Here is a 16620-nt window from a genome sequence, read left to right as displayed (position 1 = left end):
ACTCCAGCCTGGGCAACAAAGCAAGACCCTGTCTTGGAAAAATAAAATAAAATGAATAGACTTTCAAAAATTACAGGCTGTCATAAGGGTGTTGTCATATATAGATGAGTTCCTGACATGGGAACAATGAGTCTAGGAGTGACATTTAAGCTGAGACAGGAGAGAAAATACGGGGCCAGTCAAGAAAGAGGAGGAAGAACAGCATTCCAGTCCAGGAACTGGTAACTGATGGGAGTTGAAGCAAAGAAGGAAAATAATTGGCTGGACGCAATGTCTCACAAGACGATCCCTTGAGCTCAGGAGTTTGAGACCAGCCTAAGCAACATAGTGAGGCCCCATCTCTACAGAAAACACACAAAAAAATTAGCTGGTGCATGAGGTGGGAGTATTGCTTGAGCTGAGAAGGTTGAGGCTGCAGTGAGCTGTGTTCTCACCACCATGCTGCAGCCTGGGTAACAAAGTAAGATTCTGGCTGGTCACGGTGGCCCATGCCTGTAATCCCAGCATTTTGGGAGGCCGAGGCTCACCTGAGGTCAGGAGTTCGAGAGAAGCCTGGCCAACATAGTGAAACCCCAACTCCACTAAAAATACAAAAATTAGCCTGGTGTGGTGGGCACCTGTAATCCTAGCTACTCCAGCTACTCGAGAGGCTGAGGCAGAGAGAATTGCTTGAACCCGGCAGGTGGAGGTTGCAGTGAGTGGAGATTGCACCACTGCACTCCAGCCTGGGTGACAGAGCAAGATTCTGCCTCTAAAACAAACAAACGATTAATGCAGGTGTGAATTGCATCAAGCGCCCTTCCAAACATTAAGATCACCACATAGCTTCTTTTTTATTCTGTTAATATGATGAATTATTTTGATAATTTTCTTGAATTTAGGCCAACCTTGTACTCTTGGAATATACCTAGTTCAGCCTTTATTTGATAGCTCCAGTCTTTCTTTTTTTTTTTTATTTCTATTTATTTTTATTTTTTTGAGACGGAGTCTTGCTCTGTCACCCAGGCTGGAGTGCAGTGGTGTGATCTCAGCTCACTGCAAGCTCCGCCTCCTGGGTTCACGCCATTCTCCTGCCTCAGCCTCCCCAGCAGCTGGGACTACAGGCGCACGCCGCCACGCCCGGCTAATTTTTTGTATTTTTAGTAGAGACGGGGTTTCCCCGTGTTAGCCAGGATGGTCTTGATCTCCTGACCTCGTGATCCGCCCGCCTCGGCCTCCCAAAGTGCTGGGATTACAGGCGTGAGCTACCACGCCCGGCCTGATAGCTCCAATCTTTCTAAAAAGACTCAATGACAATCACAGGATAGCCCTATCCCCTCCCTGAAAAATGTCCAGGATTGATAGCTTCGGACAGAAGAGTGGGCACCAGTCCGCAATCCACCCCTGGCTCTGCAACCCTCACAGGCCAAGGATACAAGTGACCCCAACCCCATTCCCCATGTATCGCTGTGACACAAGGTCATGGTTATAAGGCCCCAAGAGCCAACATCCTCGAGGTGGGATTCGAACTCTGACCAGAGGCTGAGGCGATGGTGCTGCATTATTGGGACCTGCGCTGGTGAGGTGCCTGTAGCCTTTTGTCCCAGCCTCTGATCTGCCTTCCTCAGGGCCCCCAGACTGCCTCAGCACCCCCACTGGGAAATGTGTCCAAAGCCACTCTAAAGCCCAGAGATCAAGGTTTGACTCCCATTCCAAAGACACACCTTGGCTGGTTACAACCATAATGCAAACCTACACCCAGAGTCCAAGGAAGGTGCCAGGCTGAAGAAAAACACTGACAAATCATCTTTCTTAGGAAAGAAACATTTATTAGGGACTTATGAACAGAATCCACTTCTGGGTCTCTCGTGGCAGGGAGACAAGATAGTGGGTCTCCATGCCTTTACCGCCCAGACCCAGGGTCTACATACCACAGGGAAAGGGTGTATGTGCTTCACAAGGAATGTTTAAGGCACTTGCTTAAGGGCAAGATTTATGGTAAATGCAATAGCAGCAAGGTTGTTTTGACCTAAGGGCAGAATTTATGGTTAGTCTTACACAAGAAACAATAGATGAACTGGAATACTTAGAGGCTGTCCCAGAAGTGGGATTAATGAGAAATCTTTATGGTGGATTAACATCCTACACAGGGTTGCCTTCGCCTCCAAAAAACCTGTTAGGCATGTTTTGGAGGGACTGGGTGGCTGCACTCCTGGTCTCCTAATAACAAGGGCCACCATCCAAACACTGAGAGAGATAAGTAATGGCTGGGTCATACTGGTTTCTGGGGCCCTGGTGTCTCTCCCAAGAGCCTGAGTTAGCCGGGGGATTGTGGAGCAGGTGGGAGGTGGTCTCTCCATGTTGACCAGTGGGCGGCAAGCCACCCAGGTGCCGAGGCAAGAGACCGAGGGCACGAGCTGTTCCAGTATAATAAAATATATAAAATAACAAGAGTTATACTAGATATAGATCATAGATATGACTATATATAAGTATGATTAATCATTAGTTTGTAGTAATTACTCTTTATTCCAATATTATAATAATCCTCGCTCTACAATCATAACCTATGAAAAACCAGGCCATACAGAGATAGGAGCTGGAGGAACATGGTGAGAAGTGACCAGAAGACAAGCGTGAGCCTTCTGTTATGCCCAGACAGGGCCACCAGAGGGCTCCTTGGTCTAGCGGTAACGCCAGCGTCTGGGAAGACGGAAGTTACCAAGCAGACCGTGGTCTAGTGATAGCGTCAGTGCCAAGGAAAAGCACCCGCTATTTAGCAGACCGGGAAAGGGAGTCTCCCTTTCCCCGGGGGAGTTTAGAGAGAAGACTCTACTCCACCATCTCCTGTGGAGGGCCTGACATTAGTCAGGTCTGGAGGCCTAACCGTCTCCCTGTGATGCTGTGCTTCAGCAGTCACGCTCCTGGTCCACTTTCATGTTCCATCCTGTACACCTGGCTCTGCCTTCTAGATAGCAGTAGCAGAATTAGTGAAAGTATTAAAAGCCTCTAAAATGCAGAAATAATGGCGTAAGCTGTCTTTCCTCTCTCTCTCTCCTCCTCGGGTGCCATACAGGGAAGGGCCCCGTCCAGTGGACATGTGACCCACGTGACCTCACCTATCACTGGAGATGGCTCACACTCCTTACCCTGCCCCCTTGCCTTGTATCCAATAAATAACAGGGCAGCCTGGCATTCGGGGCCACTACCGGTCTCCGCGTCTTGGTGGTGGTGGTCCCCCCGGGGCCCAACTGTCTTTTCTTTTATCTCTTTGTCTTGTGTCTTTATTTCTATGGTCTCTCATCTACATACATGGGGAGAAAACCCCACAGACCCTGTAGGGCTGGCCCCTACATTGACCCACAGTCTCAGCTGAACTGGGTGGGAGGGCCCTTCTCCCTTGGCTGAACTTGGAAGCAGCACATCCACCTCCAGCCCTGGGACTGAGTCTCCTGGGGGAGGGAAGGAAACTTTGGGTCTTGTGCTAACGTAAAGGGATCCAGGTTCTCTACCCCAGCCTAGGGTGAGCAGACAGAACTTCCTGGGGTGCAAATCTCCTATTCCTTTTCCCTAAGAGACTCTGGTTCTCGGACACCGGCTGTGAGAGATAACACAGCAGTCCAGTGGTCAGATTGATGAATTTGGGAGGAGGCCTTGAAACCTCTGATGGGGACACAGATTGAGTTGGGACTCAGTGAAACTTTACCTTCCAGTTAGGGGCCAAGCTTCGGAAACTGGGTCACCTGCGATGATGCTGAATTCTGTGTACCAAGAATGGTAAAAGCTCCGCCCAACATGGAGCTCGAGCCCACGACCCTGAGATTAAGAGTCTCATGCTTTGCCGACTGAGCTAGCCAGGCTGATGTAATAATACTTGCTTCCCACCCTAATACTCAGAATCCTCAAAACAGGCGCTGCAAAAACAAAAACAAAAACAAAAAAACAAAGGCTGTGGTGACTCTAGTCCCGAGGAGGTGGTGCAGGGATGGCTACCCGCGGAGCCGGCCTCTGGCATTCAGACAGCTGGGTGCACAGTCCCTGCCGGGGTCTCCGGACATCTGGGAGCCCCTATCCTCCCCTTCTCAGCGAGTTGTGTAACCTCAAACCCGAGCCTCCAGTCAGGTGGAATTTGTAGTCAGGGACCATTAGCCATGGGTGGTCCTGAGTGGGAGGCGGGGAGGAAAGGAACAACCTCTCTCTGGGGCCCAAGTGCGGATCCGAAGGGGCCTGGGTCCACGCTTCGCTGCCAATATAAATCCCAATTCCTACTTAATATTGAGCCCAGCCTCTGCATATCTCCAAACCGTTTCAAATGACCCAAAGAACCTGCCTCTTCCCACTCCCCTGCAGATCTGCATGCACGGTGGAGGCAAGCGGCTCATGACAGAGGTTTCTCCATGTTGGTCAGGCTGGTCTCGAACTGCCGACCTCAGAACTGCCGACCTCCGGTGATCCGCCCGCCTCCGCCTCCCAAAGTGCTGGGATTACCGGCGATCCCGGCTGCTGGTCTGCGCTGCTTCTGCATTAATGATCAGTGCGGGGTCAGGGGGCCAGCGGAGGCCGGGAAGGAGGGACTGAAGCGAAAGAGTAGAGCAGCGGGGTAGGGTCTGTCCTGAGTGTGTGCCTCACGAAATGGACCCTCTTGTCTTGGGACCCAGTTCTTCCTCGCCTCCCCTTCCCTTCCTTAGATCGGAACAGGAACTGCAGGGCGGCCTCTGTCAAGCACATCTGTGAGAAGAGACCACCAAACAGGCTTTGTGTAAGCAGTAAAACTTTTTTAATCACCTGGGTGCAGGCGGACTGAGTCCGAAAAAGGAGTCAGCGAAGGGAGATGGGGAAGGGGTTGCTTTGTAGGAGTTGGGTAGGTAATGGAAAATTACAGTAAAAGGTGGTTATCTATTGTTAGCAGAGGAGGGGGTCACAAGGTATGTGGTAGGGAGGTCATAAGATTTATTGTCCAAAAGAAGAATGTCACAAAGTCGATTGATCAGCCAAGGTAGGGCAGGGACAAGTCACAGTGGTAGAATGTTGTAATGTTGGTTAATCACTTAAGGCAGGAACCGGCTGTTATACTTCTTTGTGGTTTTTTTGGCTTCTTCAGACTTCTTGGCTCCTGCAGGCCATCTGCACGTATATGTGCAGGTCACAGGGGTTATAATGGTTGAGCTTTAGGCTCAGAGGCCTGACACCTCGACCTGTGACCCAGGGCCCAGCAGCAGCCTCGCGGCCTGGCCGTCATCGGCCATCGGCCCAACTTCCTCTTTGTCCACAAGGGGAGCAGTCTCAGGAGTCCCTCCTGCTCCCAGCCAGGGAGTGTCATCGCAGACCTGGTCATTCTCAAAGCCTGGAAAATCCCAGCTTGAAAATGTCAATCAGGCCGGGCGCGCAGGCGCGGGGGCTCACGCCTGTAATCCCAGCACTTTGGGAGGCTGAGGCGGGTGGATCACCTGAGGTGAGGAGCTGGAGACCAGCCTGGCCAACATGATGAAACTCCGTCTCTACTAAAAATACAAAAAATTAGCCAGGCGTGGTGGCACCCGCCTGTAATCCCAGCTACTCGGGAGGCTGAGGCAGGAGAATCACTTGAACCCCAGAGGCGGAGGTTGTAGTGAGCCGAGATGGCACCACTGCACTCCAGCCTGGGCAACTCCGTCTCAAAAAAAAAACAAAACAACAACAACAACAACAACAAAACAATGTCAATCAACGGACAACGGACACTGATACCGGGGTTGGACTATCTGACGGGATGACAAAGGTGGTGAACCAGCCACCATAAACATGCTTCAGCTAAAACTCCTGCTTCATGCAAATGAAAAAATATGAAGTCTCAGGAAAGGAGTAGAAAATATAAAGAATAACTAAACGGAAAGTTTACACCCTAGAAATACAAAACCAAAGGAAGGAGCTTTAATGAATGGGCAACAGCAGAATGGAAGAAAAGAGGAGACTCCTCAAATTTGAAGACAGAACAATAGAAATTACCTGGAGAGACAATAAACTTAAAAAAAATAACAGAACCTCGGGTGTTTGTGGGACTTTAACAAAAGATCTAACATCACAGTTATTGGAGACCCAAGAGAAGAAAAATATGGCCTTTACAAACGAAAGCAGGCCAGATACAGTGGCTCACACCTGTAATCCCAGCACTTTAGGAGGACAAGGCAGGTGGATCACGAGGTCAGGAGTTCAAGACCAGCCTGGCCAAGATGGTGAAACCCCGTCTCTACTAAAAATACAAAAAAAAAAAAAAAAAGAAAAAAAATAGCTGGGCATGGTGGCAGGCGCCTGTAATCCCAGCTACTCAGGAAGCTGAGGTAGAGAATTGCTTGAACCCAGGAGGCAGAGGTTGCAGTGATCCGAGATCTCGCCTCTGCACTCCAGCCTGGGCGACAGAGCCAGACTCCATCTCAGAAAAAACAAACAAACAAAAAAACAAAAAAAAAAACCACACACACACAAAAACAGCTTAAGAGCAGTTTTAGGTTCTCAGAAAAATTGGGTGGGAAGTGCAGAGTTGCAAATTTTCCTCTGCCCCCACAGGCACACAACCTCCCCCATTCCCATGTACGTTTCTGTTTTTTATTTGTTTGTTTGCTTTTGAGACAGAGTCTTGCCCTGTCGCCAGGGGCACCTCCCGGGTTCAAGCGATTCTCCTGCCTCAGCCTCCCGAGTAGCTGGGATTACAGGCGCCCGCCACCGCGCCTGGCTAATTTTTGTATTTTTAGTAGAAATGGGGTTTCACCATCTTGGCCAGGCTGGTCTCGAACTCCTGACCTCAAGTGATCCACCCGCCTCGGCCTCCCAAAGTGCTAGGATTACAGGAGTGAGCCACCGCGCCCCGCCCTTTGTTTATTTGAGACAGGCTCAAGCGATCCTCCTGCCTCAGACACAGGAGTAGCTTGGATCACAGGCGCGCACCACCACGCCCTGCTAACTTTTAAAATTGTTTTGCAGAGGTGGGGTTTCACTACGTTGTCCAGGCTGGGCTTGAACTCCTTGGGCTCAAGCGATTCCCACTTCGGCCTCCCAAAGTGCTGGGATTACATGCGTGAGCCACCATGCCCGGCCGCCGCGATTTCCAACCACATTTCCCCCGGGCGCACCACGGGAGCTGAGGGAGGTGGGCATGGGCTCCCGGCGGTCCTGACCATCATGGTGCCAGGAGGGGAACAGGGGTGGCCACCTCTGTGCCCGCTTTCCCGGGGACCTGAAGTGCCTGATCATTTTGATTATTTGACAACCACGCCCCTGCCACCTGTGCAGTCCGGCCTTGCGCGCCGCCAGCCAGCCAAAGCTCTCTCTACACTGGATCCCGGCCCCGTTTCATTTCTCTCTGAGCAAGGCAACTTTAGAATCAGTCCTATGAGGGATGTGAACCCAGTTACCAGACAAAGCCACCCACAGTTTTCCTTAGTTTAGTCAACGAAGTGAGCCACTGCTATCAGCCTTGCCTCGGCAGGAGAGCAAATCTGCAGTCGTAAAAAGCTCACCTTATGCGGGACACGCTCCATTGAGTGAGTAGGTTTTGTCTGGGAGCTCCAGGTCACAAGCCTCACTCATTCCGGGATGCAACCACCACTCCAGTCACTCGGAGGAGTCCCTCAGGACAAGATCCACCCTGACTGCCCCAGAAAAAAATTCCCTGGTTAAACAGCCTGTGTCCCACGACGCATGTGCCCCAAGGACAAGCCACAGACACAAACATTGATTTTTTTTTTTTTTTTTTTTTTTTTGAGACTGAGTCTCGCTCTGTCGCCCAGGCTGGAGTGCAGTGGCGCGATCTCGGCTCACTGCAAGCTCCGCCTCCCTGGTTCACGTCATTCTCCTGCCTCAGCCTCGCGAGTAGCTGGGACTACAGGCGCCCACCACCACACCCGGCTAATTTTTTTTATTTTTAGTAGAGACGGGGTTTCACCGTGTTAGCCAGGATGGTCTCAATCTCCTGACCTCGTGATCCGCCCGCCTCGGCCTCCCAAACTGCTGGGTTCTTTTTTTTTTTTTTTTTTTTTTTGAGACAGAGTCTCGCTCTGTCGCCCAGGCTGGAGCGCAGTGGCACAATCTCGGCTCACTGCAACCTTCGCCTCCCAGGTTCAAGCGATTCCCCTGCCTCAGCCTCCTGAGTAGCTGGGACTACAGGCGTGCACCACCATGCCCAGCTAATTTTTGTATTTTTAGTAGAGAGACGGGGTTTCACCGTGTTGCCCAGGTTGGTCTTGAACTCCTGACCTCAAGTGATCCACTGCTTCGGCCTCCCAAAGTGCTGGGATTACAGGCGTGAGCGACCGCGCCCAGCCCCTGCTGGGTTCTTAAAGTGTGGGCTCGTCCGGGATTTGAACCCGGGACCTCTTGGGTCTCCCGGGCTTGTCCCTGTGGTCCCTAAGCGAGAACCACACCCCTAGACCAACGAGCCAAGCGGAAGAGGGGTCGGGGCCTTTGTCGCGCTTCATGAGCCCAGCGCGTCTCTGCCTGCGCTGTTCTGGATCAGTCCTAGTTTCCTCGGTCACAAACTGTCCCCCTTTCCCGATGCTTGTCCTGGACCGGATTCTAATTCCCATAGGGAGCAGGGGCACGGCGAACTTCAACATTGCCACACCCTGCGACTCCAAGCAGGAAACCCAGCTCGGGTTTTGGGGCTTCCTGCTGTCTCCGCCGCCCCTGGAGAACTGAGACCACCAGCTAGGGGAAGCCCCCCAGGTCCTCCTCCGTCCTCGGGCAAAGGGCTAGGAGCCGGGCTTGGACTCCCCAGAGGCGTCGCAGGCTCCCGGAACCGCACCTCTTCCCCGCCATGTACCGGAGGGACGCGCCGCTGCGACCTCAGGACCTGGAAGGAAAAGGAACCAGCTGAGCATGGTGGTTCTGGCCTGTAATTGCAGCACTTTGTGAGGGGAGGCCGAGGTAGGAAGATTGCTTGAGTGCAAGTTGGAGACCAGCCTCCAGAACACAGCGAGACCTCGGTTTTACACACACAAACACACACACACACACACACACACACACACACACACACACACACTTAGCCTGGCGTGGTGGTGAGCACCTGTAGTCCCAGCTACTTGGGAGGTGGAGGTGGGAGGATCCCTTGAGTTTGGGAGGTTGAGGTTGCAGTGAGCCGAGATCGCACCACTGCACTCCAGCACTCCAGCCTGGGCAACAGAAGGAGACACTGTCAAAAAAAACAAAAAACAAAAAAAGAAGAAAAAGGAAAATAAAAGAGAAAAAGAAAGAAAGAAAGAAAGAGAGAGAGAGAGAGAGAAAGAAAGAAAGAAAGAAAGAAAGAAAGAAAGAAAGAAAGAAAGAAAGAGAGAAAAAGAAAGAAAGAGAGAAAAAGAAAGAAAGAAAGAAAAGAAAAGAAAGAGAAACGAAGGAAAAAAGGAAGGAAGTTCGAAACCCTGGGCTCGTCGGAAATTTAAACTTAGAACCGACCCACTCAAAGGAAAACTACACGCCCAGACCAAGTTCCATGGCCACCCGGGATCTAGGGCCACGTCCGCAGAGGCAGACGCGGCGGTGGAGGTGTTTGCCCTCCTTTCGGGTCCCGGATCTGGGGTCCACTGCCTCAGCGCCAGGCCTTAGGCGCACTCAGAACTCCCAGGTGGAAGGCTCCAGTCAGGAGGCGCAGGCGAGTCCTTCCTGTAGCCGGGCAAGGCGAGGGGCCGCAAGCCGGACGGAAGCGGGAAGTCGGATCGGCCCCGGCGCCTGCAGCTGCCACGGAGAGACCAAGTTCCCTGCGGCCGAGACTCCGTGAAGCTCCTCAATCTTCACCGCGAGAAAATGATGGTGTTCAGAAAAAAAAAAAAAAGCGGGCTCGTCCGGGATTTGAACCCGGGACCTCTCGCACCCAAAGCGAGAATCATACCCCTAGACCAACGAGCCAGGACGACAAACGTTCTCTGACGTCTGTACTTGGAGGTCCACACCCGCGGTTCCACTCTCCCCGTCCACGCGCACCCCCCCAGACCCCGCCTTCACTCCACCCCTACCCCTCCCCGCCCGGGTCCCGGCCACACCCCAACCTCAAGCCCATCTGGGAGGGTTGCGCAGGTGGAGGTTTCGGTTTCGATCACAGGAAGCTGGTAGGAGGTGCAGCGCCTCGGGGACCAGCCCCGGGAAGAGCTCCTGTACGACCCCCGCCCTCAGGCGCACAGAGGCGGACCCCGCACCCTGGGCACCGCGGCGCCGCCTCCCCGAGGGCCACTCGGCTCCCAGCGGCTCCAGGCGGCCCCAGCACCGAGAGGAGGGCCGGTGACCAGGGGCTGCGGCCCGCGGGGAGGTGGTCTGTGTGGCCCGCGTGAGGCAGCGGTCTCGCGTGCTGAGCCCCAGCCCAGAAATTTCACCCGATGTGAAACCCGAGTGCAGGACCCTGAGGAGGAGACCCCGCCGCCTCCCAGCAGGCCAGCCCGGGCATCCTAGGAAGGGATCCCGTCTCCCACACAGACCCCGGGCTCCTGTCCTCAGCCGAGCTCCTTCTTGGCCTGAGCTCTGCCCAGGCGACCCTCGCAGCCCTGGGACCTCCGATACACGGGCCGGAGCTGGGGTCAGAGTTCATTTCTTCCCAAACGGGCGGCTCCAGAAACGCTCCAAACTTTTCTTCCGTTTTCCACTGGCAAGGGACCCAGCATTTTACTGGGAGCCTAAGGAGGAGAAAGGTCTACCGGGCTTGTCCCTGTGGTGAGGCCTCGCTGCCGGCCCTAAACAGGGATGAGGGTTTGAAAACCCTCACACAGCCCTAAGAGAGAGTCACGCCGAGTTTCCCCCTGGCCATCTCCAGTGTCCTTCGTCCCTTCAGCTCTTGTCCCCGACGTTCCCGCTCCCGGGAGCTGCAGGTGCCGCACACACCCATGAGGGACGGCAGACAGGGGACACACACCGCAAGGGACGGCAGACAGGAAACACACACCCTCGAGGGACAGCAGAGAGGACACACACCCGCGAGGGACGGCGGACAGGACACACACCCGCGAGGGACGGCAGACAGGACACACCCCCACGAGGGTCGGCAGACAGGACACACCCCCACAAGGGACCGCAGACGGGACACACGCCCGCGAGGGACGGCAGACGGGACACACGCCCACGAGGGTCGGCAGACAGGATACACCCCCACGAGGGTCGGCGGATATGACACACACCCGCGAAGGACGGCAGACCGCACGGGCCTGGCGGCGTCCTCGGTCCGCGCCGAGCTTAGGGCTCTAGCGCTCAGGATGTAGCATGTCTCATGTCTCGGATCCAGGACTCATCCCCACCAATTTTATATAGAATAGGGAAGTTCGGGAGAGCTCCAACAGAGGTGTGGGAAACCATTTTCCTCATAGCCGCCCGGCTAGCTCAGTCGGTAGAGCATGAGACCCTTAATCTCAGGGTCGTGGGTTCGAGCCCCACGTTGGGCGTGAGATTTTGTCGGATGGATTAGACTTGCAACTTGGAAGAAAGTAAACTAAATAAGAAAACGTGGAAGTGACTCCGTATACCTTGCAAATCGGGAATTGTTGGTCAGGCAAACGCAAAACGCTCCACCAACCAACTGGCTTCAGGATCCCCTTTGTCTTGTTTCATAAAAAAAAGAGGCCGAGCGTCGTGGTTCATGCCTATAATCCTCTCACTTTGACCCTAGGAGTTTGAGACCAGCCTAGGCAACATGGTGAGACCCCCGGCCCTTAAAAAAAATACAAATTTTCGCCAGGCTTGGTGGTGTGCGCCTGTAGTCCCAGCTATTCCAGAGACTGAGGCAGGAGAATCACTTGAACCCGGGAGGTAGAGGTTACAGTAAGCCGAGACTGTGCCAGTGCACTCCAGCCTGGACAACACAGTAAGACTCCGTCTCAAAATAATAATAAAAAGAAATTGGCCGGGCGTGGTGGCTCACGCCTGTAATCCCAGCACTTTGGGAGGTCGAGGCGGGCGGATCACGAGGTCAAGAGATCGAGACCATCCTGGCTAACATGGTGAAACCCCGTCTCTACTAAAAAAGAGAAAAAATTAGCCGGGCATGGTGGTGGGCGCCTGTAGTCCCAGCTACTAGGGAGGCTGAGACAGGAGAATAGCGTGAACCCGGAAGGCAGAGCTTGCAGTGAGCCGAGATCGTGCCACTGCACTCCAGCCTGAGCAACAGAGTGAGACTACGTCTCAAAAAAAAAAGAAAAAAAAAAAAGAAATAAAAATTATGTATGTATAAAATTTGCATACACGTTCCATATTCAGTAAACTGAGCATTTGGGACCCTCTCTGCATAATATTTGCCTTAAGAGGAATTCTCCTTCTATTTCACCCCAGTTTAACACTGGCAAAAATTCTTATAATTGCACGCTACAGCACACCAGGGACTCTCACCTACCATCAGGGACGTGGTCCTCATTGCCAGCCAGCCAGCCAGCCAGCCAGCCAGCCAGCAGGGGAGTCAAATTTAGAATTTCACCCTTATAATCTGGTTCTAGGCTAGGTACCATGACTCAGGCCTGTAATCCCAGCATTTAGGGAGGCCAAGGCAGGAACATCACTTGAGCCCAGGAATTTGCGGGTGCAGTGACCCATGATCGTGCCACTGCAGCCTGGGCAACACAGTGAGACCCTATCTCCAAAAACCAGAACAAGTATTTATACCTCTCTAATAACTGTCATATTAAATATTCTGTGAAAATAGCTAATGGGAGGTGTGGTGGCTCATGCCTATAAGAACAGCACTTTGGGAGGCCAAGGTGGGAATATTGCTTGAGCCCAGGAGTTTCAGACCAGCCTGGGCAACATAGCAAGACCCCGTCTCTACAAAAAATAAGTAGCATGTGCCTGCAGTACAAGCTACTCAGGAGGCTGATTGGGGAGGATCACTTGAACCTGGGAGGTCGAGGCTGCAGTGAGCAGTGATCACACCACTGCACTCCAGCCTGGGTGACTGAGTGAGACCCTGTCTCAAAAAAACAAAAAAACAAAAACAAAAACAAAAAAAACATAGCTGATGGTTTCCTGACTGCTACCTGGACATTGGTTTGGTAACAAATTTTGGCTTCAATGCAGTGCTGAGGTCCTTACCAATGGAACGTGAGATGACATAATTCACAGTATACAACAGCATCGTGATCAGGCAATGCGTGGCCTGGTTGATTATGAGGAGTTGCAGGCTGAAGCAAGTGCCCTGGGTGACCAGTGGCTGCTGTGCCTGATTGTTGCAGCACAGGTGACCACACAGACTTTCGTTAGTTCATGGCGTGGAAAGAAGTCTTCTGAAGGCCCTGGTTTGCTTACAGAAAGAAGATGACAAGATCAGGTCTCTAAACTTTTAGACTAAGTCAAGTTCAGAGACGCAGGGACAATTTATGGCAACCATACAATAACCTTAAAGCCACAAGGCTGACATTGCTAAAAATCAAACATGTCATTTAACTAGGCATGTTGCAGAATGGCAACGTAAATTGAATTCACAGCCTTAGGAAATCTTTGGTGTGAAAGATACTGCATTGATTAGGCAGAAGTGGTGACATCAGATTGGACTCAAAATTGAGAATCTTGAACTACAAAGGTTGACCTTGGAGAAAACAGCCTACATGACAAAACAAAACAGAAACAAAACAAGTTTGGCTACTTTAAGCCATCATAAGGAGGATGGGATATGATTTTGTATCTGGTGAATTTATCCATCTGGGTGCATATCCCAAAGAGCCTATAGTTAATATGTTATCTCATGCAGCTGACCATGGCCCTACCAGGTTTCTTGGTTGGTTGGCTGAAAATTGAACTCAGTGGTGGCCTATGTTTAATGAGACCGGGCTGCCAGAACGTCTCAGGCAAACTGTAGAGAAAGAAACCTAAAGACACCAAGCAATGTTGGAGTGCATCTTTCACGCATGATGTGCATACCACTGAGAAGACCAGAGGACACTCCCTTTCTTTCTTTCTTTCTTTTTCTCTTTTCTCTTTTTTTTGAGACGGAGTCTTACTCTGTCGCCCAGGCTGGAGTGCAGTGGCACGACCTCAGCTCACTGCAACCTCTGCCTCCCGGGTTCAAGCGATTCTTCTGCCTCAGCCTCCCAAGTAGCTGGGACTACAGGCGAGCGCCACCACACCCGGCTAATTTTTGTATTTTTAGTAGAGATGGGGTGTCACCATATTGGCCTGGCTGCTCTAGAACTCCTGACCTCGTGATCCGCCTGCCTCGGCCTCCCAAAGTGCTGGGATTACAGGTGTGAGCTACCGCACCAGGCCAGGACACTCCCTTTCACAAGGCCTCCCGAAAAAATCCATCACTGAAGCATCAGCTTCCTTAAGTAGCTCTCTGGTGGCCATTCTCTACAGGTGGCCTATGATGGTGGAAGGTAATGCCATTGAGGTGTGGAAGGTAACGCCACTGAGGTGTGGAAGGTAACCCCATTGAGGTGTGGAAGGTAACCCCATTGAGGTGAGGAAGGTAATGCCATTGAGGTGAGGAAGGTAATGCCATTGAGATGTGGAAGGTAACCCCATTGAGGTGAGGAAGGTAACCCCATTGAGGTGTGGAAGGTAATGCCATTGAGGTGAGGAAGGTAACCCCATTGAGGTGTGGAAGGTAATGCCATTGAGGTGAGGAAGGTAACCCCATTGAGGTGAGGAAGGTAATGCCATTGAGGTGAGGAAGGTAACCCCATTGAGGTGTGGAAGGTAACGCCATTGAGGTGAGGAAGGTAACCCCATTGAGGTGAGGAAGGTAACGCCATTGAGGTGAGGAAGGTAATGCCATTGAGGTGAGGTCCCTGATTTCAGTGGAGATGATGGGGTCCAGGATGTTTGGGGAACTGGGAGAAGCCAGGCCAGAGCTGGAAAAACAGAAGAGTCCCAATTATGAGTTTTATTTATTTATTTATTTATTTTGAGACGGAGTCTCTGTCACCCAGGCTGGAGTGCAGTGGCGCGATCTCCGCTCACTGCAACCTCCACCTCCCGGGTTCAAGTGATTCTCCTGCCTCAGTCTCCTGAGGAGCTGGGATTACAGGCGCGTGCCCCCACGCCCGGCTAATTTTTCTATTTTTAGTAGAGACGGGGTTTCACCGTGTTGGTCAGGCTGGTGCGTGATCGTGATCCGCCCGCCTCGGCCTCCCAAAGTGCTGGGATTACAGGCGGGAGCCACTGCGCCCGGGCCAATTATTGGTTTTAAAGGCAAAAGCCAACCATGTTTTTATACATATTTATGACAAAACTCCAGCAGTGGTCCCCATCAGAGCGGCTTCTGATTTTACTTTACACCATGTCCTGTAGTTCGGGAAATTTTTACCTTGAAGATGGCATCATATATTGCATGGATTTAAAAAAAGAATACTATGGACTATTTCAAATATGTATTAAAAGAGAGAAAATAGTGCAATGTCCCCTCATGTCCCCCATTATCTACTCATGGATAAGTAGTTTCATCTATACCGCCATCCATCTTATGATTTCTTTTTTTTTTTTTTTGAAACGGAGATTACAGGCTGGGATTACAAGTTTAAGCCAGCGCACCTGGCCTCAGTTTTATGATTTTTAAAACAAACCAGTTGTCTTGTAATTTAATCTGTAAATAATTGTGTTTATAAAAAAAAGGATTTAAAAAATATTTGTAACCATAATAGAATTAACAAACCTGGAAAAATAAACAATCATTCCTTTCTATCAAGTTAAATGGATGGTACTTAACATCCTGTAAAAGATTCGGCTCCTTTTTTCTGTAACGTGAAATTGTGCTCGTCTTCCTTGAAAACAGGTAGAGGTTTCTGATTTAGAGCCTTTTTGGTAACCCTTCGGAAACTCCGCACCTCCACTGGAGTATACCGCATTCTAACTCTTCTGCCCGATAAGGAACACTAAAATTCGGCCTTTCTTTACCCCGGGTGGGACTCGAACCCACAATCCCTGGCTTAGGAGGCCAATGCCTTATCCATTAGGCCACCGGGGCGGATAACAAAACGCTGTCGCTTGTCTTAGACCAGTTTCTCCATCACTCCGCGGTGGTTCCTGCACAGCCTGCCCGTCCTACCCTGGCCTTTCTCCCGCCCCTCCACTGCAATCCAAGCTTCGGTTCAGATCTCGTCCGCTCCTGAGCATCCTCGGGACCCCAAAGAGACGGCGCACGTGCAGAGGGACCTGAAAGACACCGAACGTCAGATTTTTGGCTCCGCTCTTTGGTCTAGGGGTATGATCTTCGCTTAGGGTGCGAGAGGTGCCTGGATCAACTCCTTCACAAGCCGTCGTCTCCACTCAGGAGACAACCCAAGTCTAGGGGTAATTAGTAGCGAATGATGCACTTGCGATGGGTAGAGTGTATGGGAAGGGGCACGCGATGCCAGCTCAGCAACTGGCTCCTCATCCCGAGCCCGCCGCTTCTGGAAGTGTCGGTCTTCGTCCTCCTCCCCCGCATTGTCCGTTAGACCAAGGGTGCCGCCCAGTGGTCGGAAGCCTCTTAATAATGACCCTCCAAAATCCGCCCTCTACATCCCCAGCTGGCTAGGTGTTAATCTCAGGATCGCCACGTTGGGTGTTTACTTTCCTGCCCCAACACGTGTGTTATTTTCCTTTTTTAAAAAATCTGTATTTTAATGACGTTCTTTTCCTTTAATACCTAGTAAACGCTTCAGTCCAGGAGTTCGAGACCATCATGGGCAAAATAGTGAGCGCCCCGTCTCTACCAAAAACAAATAC

At 51.7% G+C, this 16620-nt stretch overlaps 4 non-coding genes and 1 pseudogene across 4 annotated transcripts, besides 5 other annotated features; 2 read left to right on the top strand and 3 right to left on the bottom strand.

Moving 5' to 3' along the window:
* Positions 2790–2849: an enhancer, noted in NCBI's record as "active region_10307". NCBI's record gives its function as "activates an Ori minimal core promoter by ATAC-STARR-seq in GM12878 lymphoblastoid cells {active_cell/tissue: GM12878}" and the evidence as "EXISTENCE:reporter gene assay evidence [ECO:0000049][PMID:35858748]".
* TRK-CTT8-1 (tRNA-Lys (anticodon CTT) 8-1) lies at positions 3767–3839 on the bottom strand. Its single transcript has one exon. It is a non-coding gene; the product is annotated as a tRNA-Lys (tRNA).
* Positions 9784–9855, bottom strand: TRP-TGG3-3 (tRNA-Pro (anticodon TGG) 3-3). Its single transcript has one exon. It is a non-coding gene; the product is annotated as a tRNA-Pro (tRNA).
* Positions 9823–9962: a silencer, noted in NCBI's record as "silent region_7124". NCBI's record gives its function as "represses an Ori minimal core promoter by ATAC-STARR-seq in GM12878 lymphoblastoid cells {active_cell/tissue: GM12878}" and the evidence as "EXISTENCE:reporter gene assay evidence [ECO:0000049][PMID:35858748]".
* Positions 10093–10312: a silencer, noted in NCBI's record as "silent region_7123". NCBI's record gives its function as "represses an Ori minimal core promoter by ATAC-STARR-seq in GM12878 lymphoblastoid cells {active_cell/tissue: GM12878}" and the evidence as "EXISTENCE:reporter gene assay evidence [ECO:0000049][PMID:35858748]".
* TRK-CTT3-1 (tRNA-Lys (anticodon CTT) 3-1) lies at positions 11300–11372 on the top strand. Its single transcript has one exon. It is a non-coding gene; the product is annotated as a tRNA-Lys (tRNA).
* Positions 11333–11382: a silencer, noted in NCBI's record as "silent region_7122". NCBI's record gives its function as "represses an Ori minimal core promoter by ATAC-STARR-seq in GM12878 lymphoblastoid cells {active_cell/tissue: GM12878}" and the evidence as "EXISTENCE:reporter gene assay evidence [ECO:0000049][PMID:35858748]".
* Positions 15710–15849: a silencer, noted in NCBI's record as "silent region_7121". NCBI's record gives its function as "represses an Ori minimal core promoter by ATAC-STARR-seq in GM12878 lymphoblastoid cells {active_cell/tissue: GM12878}" and the evidence as "EXISTENCE:reporter gene assay evidence [ECO:0000049][PMID:35858748]".
* Positions 15805–15877, bottom strand: TRR-CCT3-1 (tRNA-Arg (anticodon CCT) 3-1). The gene has a single exon. It is a non-coding gene; the product is annotated as a tRNA-Arg (tRNA).
* On the top strand, positions 16098–16169 carry TRP-AGG6-1 (tRNA-Pro (anticodon AGG) 6-1; annotated as a pseudogene).

Source organism: Homo sapiens, chromosome 16, assembly GCF_000001405.40.
Source record: "Homo sapiens chromosome 16, GRCh38.p14 Primary Assembly".
NCBI lineage: Eukaryota > Metazoa > Chordata > Mammalia > Primates > Hominidae > Homo > Homo sapiens.
This window is presented reverse-complemented; position numbering and strand designations above follow the sequence as displayed.